At 42.4% G+C, this 12712-nt stretch overlaps 1 protein-coding gene across 6 annotated transcripts in view, besides 1 other annotated feature; it reads left to right on the forward strand.

Annotated features, from left to right (window-relative positions):
• SHISA9 (shisa family member 9) overlaps positions 1-12712 on the forward strand; it is a 661420-nt gene that overhangs the window by 124875 nt on the left and 523833 nt on the right. The window lies entirely within an intron of this gene.
• Positions 10207-10407: a silencer, noted in NCBI's record as "peak2503 fragment used in MPRA reporter construct". NCBI's record gives its function as "represses an SCP1 promoter by STARR-seq MPRAs in K562 erythroleukemia cells {active_cell/tissue: K562}" and the evidence as "EXISTENCE:reporter gene assay evidence [ECO:0000049][PMID:32103011]".

Genomic DNA, 12712 nt, shown 5'->3' on the forward strand with positions numbered 1-12712 from the left:
TCTGTTGATGGATGTCTGTGTCGTTTCTGTATCTTAGCTTTTGTGAATAATGCTGCAATGGACATGGGAGTGCAGATATCTCTTTGAGTTCCAGATTTCAACTTTTTATATATCCAGAAATGGGATTGCTGCATCGTATGGTAGTTCTATGTTTAATCTTTTGAGAAACCTCTATATTGTGTTTCACAGCAGCTGCACCCTTTTATATTCACTGTGGGTCAGTTCTGACCTCCTCAAGCCCTACTTTTCCTACCTGTAAATGTGAGTAGTGATGGGAATCTTCTCATAGCATCATTTTGAAGACTACCTATGTAATGCAGATAAAGCACTTGACATGATGGAAGACTAACAAGTAGCCATGATGCTTAGTATTATTTCCATTTTATAGGAGAAGGATGTGAAGCTCAGAGACTTTGGCTGCGGGAAGGGAAAACCAGTGCCCCTCCCCTCCTTGATCAGAGTCAACATTTAGGTTTTAAGGTTGAAAGTCATTGTCTGTGTCTTCAAGGTACCATAACTACCTAGAGTTTCATGGCCTGAAAGAGACCTGGAGCTTGTTTATACCTCCCTCCCCCACTGCTGTATCTGGGTCTTTTGGGGTATAGCCCATTTACTGAACAACGAAAACTTTGGGGATCCCCAAGATTTCTGTTCTCAACATTGAATTGTACTGTTGGTTGACAAATGTTGGGTGAAGAGTCCTCAGCTTTCTTTGGAAATTCTGTCCAACATTTTTGGATGTTCTTATCTGGAGGATGGACTCCATCAATATTCTTTCAGTTATAGGCAGCAGTAAAAACCATCTCAAACTTCCTTAAGCAACTAATAATATTTATTGGGTCATGTAGCAAAATTTCCAGGAATCTAGCTAGTTAGAGGTGCCCCAAAGAGGCTGCTTTTTGTTTCTTATAAACTGAAGCATAAAATCCAATATACACTTAGCATGCAACCCAGCAATTTTACTCCTCTGTATCTATCCAAGAGAATTGAAAATTATGTCCACACAAAGAATCTGCACTAATATTCATAGAAGCTCTATTCATAATAGCTAAAAGCTGGAAACAACCCAATGTCTATCAATGGGAGAATGAATAAACAAACTGTGGTACATCCACACAATGGAATAATTCTCGGCAATAAAAAATAATGAATATTGATTCACACAAAACATGGCTGAATCTCAAAAGCAGGCACTGAAGAGTGTATAGTGTTGGGAGGCTGAGGCAGGCGGATCACCTCAGGTCAGGAGTTTGAGACCAGCCTGGCCGACATGGTGAAACCCTGTCTCTACTAAAAGTACAAAAATTAGCTGGGTATGGTGGTGCACTCCTGTAATCCCAGCTGCTTGGGAGGCTTAGACAGTAGAATCACTTGAACCCAGGAGGCGGAGGTTGTAGTGAGCCGAGACCACGCCACTGCACTCTGGCCTGGGTGACTAGAGTGAAGCTCTGTCTCAAAAACAAAAAAAAAAAAAAAAAAAAAGAATGTATACTGAAAGAAGCCAAGCACTAAAAAGTGTATATTGTATGATTCTATTTATATGAGATTCTGAAAAGGTAGACGGTGGCTGCTTGGGGCTGGGGTGGGGGTAATTGACTGCAAACAGGTATGTGAAACAACCTTCTCAGGTAATGAAAACCTTCTATCTCTTGATTGTCATGGTGGTCTTGACTGTATGTATGTGTCAAAATTGATCAAACTGTGTACTTAACATGGGTACATTTTAGTGAATATAAGTTACACTTCAATAAACGTTATTTAAGAAGAAATCTGCCTCTATCATTGGGTTCTATTTATCTCTACGTGGCTTCATTCTTAGGCAGGTTCTCCCCAGGAAGTGATAAAGGGAGCTGCATTAGTCTGTTTTCATGCTGCTGATAAAGACATACCGAGACTGGGCAATTTATAAAGAGAAAGAGGTTGAATGGACTCACAGTTCCACATGGCTGGGGAGGCCTCACAATCATGGTGGAAGGTGAAAGACACGTCTTACATGGTGGCAGGCAAGAGAGAAGGAGAGCCAAGTGAAAGGGGAGACCCCTTATAAAACCATCAGATCTCGTGAGACTTATTTCTTACCATGAGAACAGTATGGGGGAAACTGCCTCCATGATTCAATTATCTCCTACCGGGTCCCTCCCACAACATTTGGGAATTATGGGAGTTGCAATTCAAGATGAGATTTGGGTGGGGACACAGCCAAACCATATCAAAAGCCTTCAGCAGTTTTGCCCCTCAGCTCAGCAATCCCCATGGAGAAGAGCTTCTTCCTATAGATAAATTATGGCATAGAGGGTCGTTGGAACAGCTGGGGTCATATGACCATCCTTGAATCAATCACTGTGTCTGCAGATGGTGGTGAAATTCTCTGATCGGTCAGGATTAGATCATGTTCTGGAGCCAGCTGGGGGTGTCAACACTTCAAAACTACATGGAGTGTGAGTGGGGGACGAGTCCTTCCCTGAAGGAAAGTAAAGGTGCTATTACTAGAAGACTGAGGAATGGATGCAAATGCAATTGAGGTCTTCTACATAGACCTTCCCTAGATATAACCTTCCAAGCTAGGTCCCATTTCTCTCCTTTTAAAATTTTTTTTATTTTTAGTTTTTGTGGGCACCTAGTAGATATATAGAGCTACCACATGCTTCAACAATCCCATTACTGGGTATATACCCCAAAGAAAGGAAATCAGTATATCAAAGAGAGATCTGTACTCCTGTTTGTTGCAGCACTGTTCACAATAGCCAGATTTGGAAGCAACCTAAGTGTCCATCAGTTGATGAATGGATAAAGAAAATGTGGTACACATACACAATGGAGTACTATTCAGCCATAAAAAGAATGAGATCTTGGCTGAACACGGTGGCTTACGCCTGTAATCCCAGCATTTTGGGAGGCCAAGGCAGATGGATCACTTGAACTCAGGAGTTTGAGACTGGCCTGGGCAACACAGCAAAACCTCGTCTCTACAAAAAAATACAAAAAATTAACTGGACGTGGTGGCACACGCTTGTGGTCCGAGCCTACTCGGGAGGCTAAGGAGGGAGGATCACTTGGGCCAGGAGGTCAAAGCTGCAGTGAGCCGAGATTGTGCCACTGCACTCCAGCCTGGGCGACAGAATGAGACCCTGTCTAAACAAACAAACAAAATGAATGAGATTCTGTTATTTGCAACAACATGGATGGAACTAGAGATCATTACATTAAGTGAAATAAACCAGGCACAGAAAGGCAGACATAATGTGTTCTCACTTAATTGTGGGATCTGAAAATAAAAACAATTGAACCCATCTCTCTTGTCGACCTCTCACCCTCCAGAATTAGATAGATCCACATCCATCTCGTCACTTTTGTGATTTATGACAACATAATGTAGTAGAAAGACAAAGGCTGGGAGCCAGAGGCCTAGAGGGTCAAATCTCAGCTCTGCTTCTTCCTTACCTCCTGACCCTAGGCAATTTATTCAAGCTCTCTAAGGATCAGTTTCCGCATCTGTGAACGGAGGATAATTATAGGACCTACTTCATGATGCTGCTGTGAGGACTGAATGAGATCATTCATATCCAGTGTTTAGCATAGTGCCTGGTACACAGTAAGCACTTGATCAATGTCGTTTATAATTACTGTTTTTAGAATTTTGAATGACTTTTAAAAATGGAGTATTTATCTATAGCCAGGTGTAGCAGGTGTATTGGCGCCATGTCCACATCTCCTTGGTACCTCCATTCTTATAGGCACTGATGGAATCCTATTGCAAGAACCCCCCACTCAGACTGTCTGGGGGCTTTCTCTGACATGCTGCTCTCCTGTAGGTGAGGTGAAGTGCTTCTAGAAGTGCTGGAGAGTCGATGCTCCTGGGAGCAGCCCCCAGCCAATGGTAGCCACCCAGCTTTCTCATTCCTTGGGTGAGTCCACTCTAAGGTACATTCAACAGCATTCCCAGGGGTTTCTCATAGGATTGAGCCCAGTTGCCCACTGCAGTAACATGCCCATTAATGCTAGATTGGCTTGCTTCCCTTCCCTGTCTAACTTCCCCGTTCCCCTTTTTGAGATCACCTTCCAAGAACCTGTCTGTACTCAAAAATGATTTCAGAGCCTGCTTCTTAGGGAACTCAACCTGAGATCCGGACCACATCAGTGAGTTGAAACATCATGTTTTTCTGCTCTTGACTAGAATTACAGCAACATTGTATAGTGTCACAGTGTAGTACAGTTACCTCTTGTAGACCACAGGCACTAACGGGCAGCTCTTTAAGGCTTTGATGAATAAAATATGGTAGGAAAAAATTAACTATTCTTTAATAAATGCAGCTTTCTGGGCAGTCAAATTCTACAAAAGCATTTATAGGAGAGGAACGCAATGGGGAAAATGAATCCCAAGGACCCCTTCATGGCCAAAACGTGTGCGTCACTGACAGGGGAGTTCTAAGTATTGGTTGAGTGATTGATTATCCTGGCTTCTAGCACAGGGCTGTTACTCAGTGTCAGATTAATGAGCTGTGGATTTGTGTGTATCCAAGTGACTGCAGAACTGCAAGGCTTAGAAGCCTGAGCCCATATCTTCCAGCCGTTTATATGTCTCTGTTGTGTTGATGGTGAGGGGGCTGCTGTAAGTAAACAATGGCCAAACCAGGTCCCGCGGGGCACTGTGATTACCATGGGTCTTACTCTAGGTATATTGGGAAATTACTGGGGATCCACAGTCCCAGATTTTAACCCCTCTTCTGCCTCTGCCTTCCTGTGTGACCTTGATGAATCCCTTGTTTTCTCTGGCCCTTGGTTTCCTCCTCTGTCCACTGGAATAGGTTGGATGAAGAAACCCCAGTTATTCATGCTTTGGGAACTGAACGAGCTCTGTTGCCTTGACAATAGTGTATTCAGCCATTGCACCCTCTCCATGGGGTGGGTAAGTAGCAAATGGATAATGTTTCATTTTACAGATGGGATGCCTGAGGTAGAGTGGCCAGTATGATACAGGCACCAACCAGTAACTGTGCAAAGGCTTATATTTCAGTGCAAGATCTTATGTAATTCCTGAGACTTAACAAGTAGGCAGCCAAGGGTAAGGCAATTTATACACATATCACAGGAAACACTGGAGTTCAGATGGAGCATGCCAGTATGAAAAGCATGTGAGCACTAGAGTCTGACAGATGTGGGTTTGAATTTTAGGTCTGCCTCTCTGAGCCTCAATGTCTTCTTTTTACGGCCTAAAAAATAATATCTATATCACGAGGTTAAGGCTAGGCTCATATGAGACAGTTCTGTTACAGTACTTGTTCTGAAAACATGAATTTGCACAAGTGAGATTGATATATCAGGAAACAATTTGAGCATAATGTGAATTTCACATTTGTTCATGTGAAATTTCCTCAGTGAGAAACAATAGGCAAATGCAGAAAACTGCACTCAAATAAACTGAGCCACATAGGAATACATAAAATACACACACCTCAAACATCTGCCAGCTACCTGAGTTGTGAGCCATGCCCACCCACATCTGGTGTTGCAACTGTCTATCCAACTTTCAACTTTTTTTTTTTTCAAATTTTACTTTAAGTTCTGGGATACATGTGCAGAACATGCAGGTTTGTTACATAGGTATACGTGTGCCATGGTTGTTTGCTGTACCTATCAACCTGTCATTTAGGTTTTAAGCCCCGCGTGCATTAGGTACTTGTCCTAATGCTTTCCCTCCTCTTGCCCCCACCCCCAAGAGAGGCTCTGGTATGTGATGTTTCCCTCACTGTGTCAGTGCATTCTCATGGTTCAATTCCCACTTATGAGTGAGAACATGAGGTGTTTGGTTTTCTGTTCCTGTGTCAGTTTGCTGAGAATGATGGTTTCCAGCATCATCCATGTCCCTGAAAAGGACACGAACTCTTCTTTCTTAGGGCTGCATAGTATTCCATGGTGTATATGTGCCACATTTTCTTTATCCAGGAACCAACCCAAATGCCCAACTTTCAACATTTTTATGTGAGGTTCCTGTCTTTAAAAAAATGTGTCACTGATGAAGTTTTTGAATGGTGTGCCCCTAACCTCATTTCCCCATAAACTCTGTAGTTTTTATTGCATGATTTTGTATAATGCAGTAATTTTTAGAAATGTGTATGTTGTACTATAGCAGCAGAACTGACTGTGTAATGAAGTAAAGTGCCTTGTACAGTGCCTAGTACAGAGTAAATATTAGACTGTTCTCATCTACTTCTTTCTATTACACTTTCTATTATATCTTATGGAATAGAAAGCAGAAAGGTCCTGAATTATGACTCTTGATTGTTGCAAGAGAAGGTACTCAAGCTTCATAGCTGGAAGTCGATAGAGATCTCTCACAGACAGGAGTGCAACTGAATTCAGGGAAGTCATAGTTTTGACCTTTGTGAGAAACAGAAAACCCAATTCATAATAGCTAAGACAAAAAGCTTGTAATTGCAAAGTTCCCTAGAGTCAGAGCGAGATCAAGGAACTCAAACCATGAGATGTTACCAGGACTTAGTTTCCATTTGTCAGACCTGCCTTCTGCTGTGTTGGCCTCATTTTCAGGCAGGCTTTCTTCGCATGGTGACCAGATGGTGGCCAGAATTTCCTGGTTCGCAACCATACAGCTTCAAGTCTAGTAGAAAAGATAGGGTGCTTTTTTCTTCTAGTCACATCTGCCTAAATCCTGGGATTAGCCGGCTCTAACTGCATTATGTTCTTATTTCTGAAATCATCATGCAGTGCCCATATTTGGTTAGGCTTGGGTGACATACCCTCCCCTACAATTAGGGTGAAAATGGACTGATGACCTGGACTGAAGGGAGGCGGGAAGGTGGTTCTCCAAAGGAAGTTCAAAGTATTGATAACTGAACAAGGAAGAATGAATACTGGACAGGCAAAACCAACACACTTCCACTATAAGAACCAAAACCAGGGATTTGGAAGCCATTTAGATTCTATTTCCTACTCTGTGCTTCATTTCTTTCTTTTTCAGAAGCCTTTCTTTTTCTGCTTCTCTAATCCACATGATCTTCATAATCATAGTAGTAGCTGCCAAGTCCAAACTTCCCAGAAAGGATTGAATATTACAACTTTAAATTCAAAAGAAAGGGTTCTGACCCAGCTTGGATTAGGGGTCCACTTGCATTCAAATCAAGAGACTCAGGCATGGGGGATGGTGGTGTACTATTGTATCAATAAACTGCCAGGAGCTCACTGTTATGTCCTTGGGTTGGGAGACCAATAGGAATGGTTGTTGTGAGTTGGCCACACTACCCAGTAGATGTCCATGATAAGGAAGTTCTTCCCAACTTGCTCCAATAGGCCTCCATTATTTTCAGGATCCAAGTCCAAGATGGTTCAGCCCATGATTGGAAAAATGAAAGAAGCTTATTAAGATACCTCCATGTGGCTGGGCGCTGTGGCTCACGCCTGTAATTCTAGCACTTTGGGAGGCCAAGGTGGGTGGATCACCTGAGGCCAGGAGTTTGCGACCAGCCTAACTAACATGGCAAAACCCCATCTCTACTAAAAATATGAAGATTAGCCAGGTGTGGTGGCGCATGCCTGTAATGCAGCTACTCGGGAGGCTGAGGCAGGAGAGTCGCTTGAACCTGGGAGGCAGAGGTTGCAGAGAGCTGAGATTGTGTCATTGCACTCCAGCCTGGGTGACAAGAATGGAAACTCCATCTCAAAAAAAAAAAAAAAATACCTCCATCTGAGACGAGCATCTTTACCTATCCCAAGTAGAGAAGTAGTCTGCTTGACTCCTTGGACTCCAGCTCATTTAGTAGGATAGAGGGAAAGATTCAGGAATGGCATTGGTGGGGGTAGGGGTGATGAGCACCATTAGCATCTCCTTGGGAATGACCCAATTTCTCAGCTTCTGTTTCACCTCCTGGCCCAGCTAGACTTGCTAATGAGCAGTGATGCCAACTCACACCTTATGAAAGTCAGGTCATTGGGATGTTCTTTCTTCTGAGATCAGGGAGAATTGGAACATAGATATTTGGCCTTAGTCCAGAAGAAGCAACATCTTATTGAGGGCAGGAAGAAAGTTAAGTTTATTTTTGGGGGGCCACTTGGAGATTGCTTTGTATAGCACACTGTAATGATAGACCCAATTCTTCAGACCTCCCTCCATGCATACTCTTTTCCATGTGACTTTGCAGTTTCCATCACAAGAGACATGGAGTCTCTTTCCCTACCTCTTGAATTTGGTCTAGCCTTGTGATTTGTTTTGGCCAATAGAATATGGTAGGAGTGACTATGTGCCAATTCTGAGCCTATAGCTGAAGAACGCTTGTGTGTTTCTTCTTGCTGTTTTGTACCTCTGCCATTGCCAAGACTACTCTGATGAAGGAGGAGAGACATGTGAAACAGACCCAGGTCATTCCCTTCTCCCATCCAAGATCGTCCTACATTAGTCAACAGCCAGCCAGTACTAGACATGTGAATGAGCTAAGCTGAGACTGAAAGATCTGCCCAGCTGATCCTAGACTAAATAACCAATTACAGATTTGGGAGCTAATAAAATGCTTTTTTTAAAAGAAAAAAAAGCTATTGTGTTTTGGAGGGTGGTTTTAACATCAACATTATTTGGTGGATTGTCTGTTAAAATCTTTGCCCACTTAAATCTGATATTGATACTATCAACAAATCCAACATATTTGTTATTATGGTAACAGAAAACTGATATGTTTGGAATATAATAGAATTAATAGCTCTATATTTTGAGTATTCACTATGCAGCATACAACTATGTACATTGCTGTGGTCTTCCTGATGACACATTTAGGTAGGTTGCACTAGCTCTATTTTTTGTAGGTAACTGTGAGAATGATGGAGATTAAATGACTCACAAGGGGTCAACCAGCTAGGAAAGAGTTGGTTTGAGAAAACATGGCAGGTCTTTTTCACTCTATCAATCTTCCTACATCCCTACAGTGTATCTGCACCCAGAATCCCATGTTGGTGATAGAGGTTTGTCCACAGAGCTCAATAATTCAGAGTAAAGGGGACTTTCTTGTGAATTGCATTATTCTGAGGTTGATTATGATTATGTGTTCCTGTAATTTTCAGCTTTTTTTTTTTTGAGATGGAGTCTTGCTCTGTCACCCCGGCTGGAGTGCACTGGAGTGATGTCGGCTCACTGCAACTTCCACCTCCCAGGTTCAAGTGATTCTCCTGTCTCAGCCTCTCAAGTAGCTGGGACTATGGGTACGCACCACCATGCCTGGCTAATTTTCATATTTTTAGTAGAGATAGGGTTTTGCCATGTTGGCCAGGCTGGCCTCAAACTCCTGACCTCAGGTGATCTGCCTGCCAATAACTTCCATCATAAAGATCTGGGATTTGTTGATAGCATTAATATCAGATTTAAATGGGCAAAGATTTTAACAGACAATCCACCAAAGAAGATATATATACGGTCAATAAGTACATGAAAAGATGCCGGTGTCATTAGTCATCAGGGAAATGCAAATTAAAACCACAATAAGATACCACCCATTAGAATGGCTAAAATGAAAAAGATTGATGATATCAAGTGATGGTGAAAATATGGAGTGACTGGAATTGTCACACACTGAAGGTGTAAAATAGTACAACAGAGAAGAGTTTGGTTGTTTTTAAATAAAGTTTAACCTGCCCTTACCATATGACACATCAATTCCACTCCTAGATATCTGCTCAAGGTAAATAAACACAAATGTCCGCACAAAGTCTTGTATACTAATGTTCAGAGTAGCTTTATTTGTAATAGCTCCAAGCTAAAAGTAACCCCCAAATCTATTCATAGGTGAGTGGATAAACTACTTGTGTGATATATTTTAACAACAATAGTAAATAAGTTATTGATACATGTAGCAGTATAAATCAATTTTAAAAATTATGCAGAGAGGAAGAAGGCAGATATAAAATAGTTCATACTACATAATTTCATTTATTTGAAATCTAGAAATGACAAATGAAATCTAGTGTCCGAAGGCTAAATAGTGTTTGTCTGAGGCCAGAGGTTGGGGGGTTATTAAGGTGGGTGAGATCTAATGAGACTTTCTGGGGTGATGGAAATATTCTGTATCTTGATGGTGGGGCTAGTTACATTGGTGTATAAATCTGTAAAAAGTCATCAAAATGTACAATTAAAATGCATGCACTTGCATATAAGCCATAACTCCATAAAGTTGATTTTCAAAGAGACCTAAAATTATGTTTTCTGAAAATTACATGGTTATGAATTTCTGGAGAATGATATATGGGTTGACAGAATCAGCTTCTTGAAGTTCAGAGGAGGAAAAAAAAAAAGCTCCCACAGCAAAAGGCAATTCAGGACCACGGACAGCACCCCCAGTACTAAATGAGGTAAAGTAGTTAGCACAAATCTGGCAACAGTAAGCGCTCACTCAAATGCAGCTCAAAAAACCCTTTAATAAATGCCTACTACGTGCCAAATATCACGTAAAGCCCTATTTATATGAATTATTTCATTTTAGTCTCACCAACCACTTGTAAATTAAAGACTATTATTATCCTTACTTTGCAGTTGAGAAATCAGGCATTGTTCTCAATGTAATTTTGTAAGTAAAAGGAAAGCAGGGAATGATCACACACACACACACACACACACACCACACCACACACACACACACACACAGACACACACACACACACACACACACACACACACACACACACACACACACTGTTGGTCCCAGATTCTGAAAGCGGAAAGGACATTCTTGCCTTTCTTGTGTAATGGTGTTTTGCTCCCAGGGCGTTTGAAGGCAGAATTGGTCGGCAGGCAAGCGGGTGTAAGTGCCAATGTGTGGAAGAATTACAGGTACATTTTCCCAAGCCTCTGGCAGATTATTTTTTACGTACAAAATTACTTGTCAGGAAGCTTTTTTTTTTCTCTCTCTCGGTTCTCATACTATAGAAACAAGTGTTACATAACATGCATATCAGCAGCGATGGTTTTGCACAGCATCTAACCAAGGTTGGGGGAGGGGAGCAGCAGTGAGGGAGAGTGCAAGTTATAGCCAAAGACCCTCAATGTCTGAGGGTATGGACAGGATGGTGGATGAGAGAATGGGGGCAGAGATGAACTCTTCTTTGCAAGATTGGGCAAAATCCTAGCCTGGGAATCAAACCTGGGGCCCTTGCCTGCGAGTACCTCCTTCCACTCACACTGTTATCACCATGGTTTAAACTCTCCTTTCTTTCCTGGAATAAGCAGCCCCCTAACTGGTCCTCCCACTTCCAGCCTTTTGTTTTTCAGTATTTTGACCTTAGAACGTTATAGACATGTATATCTGATTCATTCACTACCTTCTCTCAAATGGGCTAAACATTCCCCCAAACTGAACTTCCTAATGTAAAGTTCTTTATAAGCATCAAGGGTCACTTAAAAATCAGAGCCCTGACTACTCCACCAGTTTCTTTCCTTGCTTTTGTCCAACCTTGATCCTAACCCTAATGCATTACTTGGGGATCCCTGAAAGCATCGTGCTATGCTGAACTTTGCCTATGTTCTGTTTAATTGTTTCTTTGTTTGGAGACAGGGCCTTGCTCTGTCACCCAGGCTGGCGTACAGTGGCAAGATCTCGGCTCACTGCACCTCCGCCTCCCGAGTTCAAGCGATTCTTGTGCCTCAGCCACCCGAGTAGCTGGGATTACAGGTGTGCACCATCATGCCTGGCTAATTTTTGTATTTTTAGTAGAGACAGGGTTTCACCATGTTGCCCAGGCTGGTCTCGAACTCCTGGCCTCATGTAATCCAACTGCCTTGGCCTCCCAAAGTGCTGGGATTACAGGCGTGGGCCACCATGCCCAACATCTGCTTAATTATTCTGCAGTTTACCTTCTTTTCTCCATCTCTCTCCCTTTCCTCCTTTTCCTTCAGAGCAGCTAGGATAACCTTACTGTGGCCCACAAGGTCCTGCACAATCTAGCCTCTTCTCTGGCTCCAGCCTCACCTTGTGCTAGTCCCTGCACCCCACTCTCCTTTGCTCTATTCCAACCTCTTGCTTCTTTGAGGTCCTCCAATGTGAGCCTTACTCCTTTCTGCCTCCTCAGGACTTTTGCACGTACTGCTCCTACTGACTAGAACGCTTGCATCCTTCTCTGTAGTTGATCATCTCGCAGTTCATTCTTATATAACCTCCAGATTTCAGCTCAATCATTTCCCAGGGAAGCCTTCTCCGACCCTTAACATCACCCTGTATGTTTCTTTAAACACACATACCAACCATACAAAGTTATGTATTTACCAGTGTGATCGTTTGTTAATTCTCTTCCTCACTAGACCTTAAGCTCCACAGAGGCAAAGACTACATATCATGTCAATTTTGCCCACTACTGAATTACTAGTGTCTGACACATAGTAGAGCCTCTATAAATATTTGTTGAATGACTCAGTACCTGTCTCTGTTTCTTTATTTAATACTAAAGAATTCCCAATATTATTATTTTTTGAGACAGAGTCTCACTCTGTTTTCAGACTGGAGTGCAGTGGTGAAATCTCTGCTCACTGCAGCCTCCACCTCCTGGATTCAAGTGATTCTCCTGCCTCAGCCTCCCGAGTAGCTAGAACTACAGGTGTGCACCACCATCCCTGGCTGATTTTTGTATTTGTAATAGAGACGGGGTTTCACCATGTTGGCCAGGCTGGTCTCGAACTCCTGACCTCAGGTGATCCACCTGCCTCGGCCTCCCAAACTGCTGGGATTAC

The sequence above is a fragment of the Homo sapiens genome, chromosome 16, assembly GCF_000001405.40.
Source record: "Homo sapiens chromosome 16, GRCh38.p14 Primary Assembly".
NCBI lineage: Eukaryota > Metazoa > Chordata > Mammalia > Primates > Hominidae > Homo > Homo sapiens.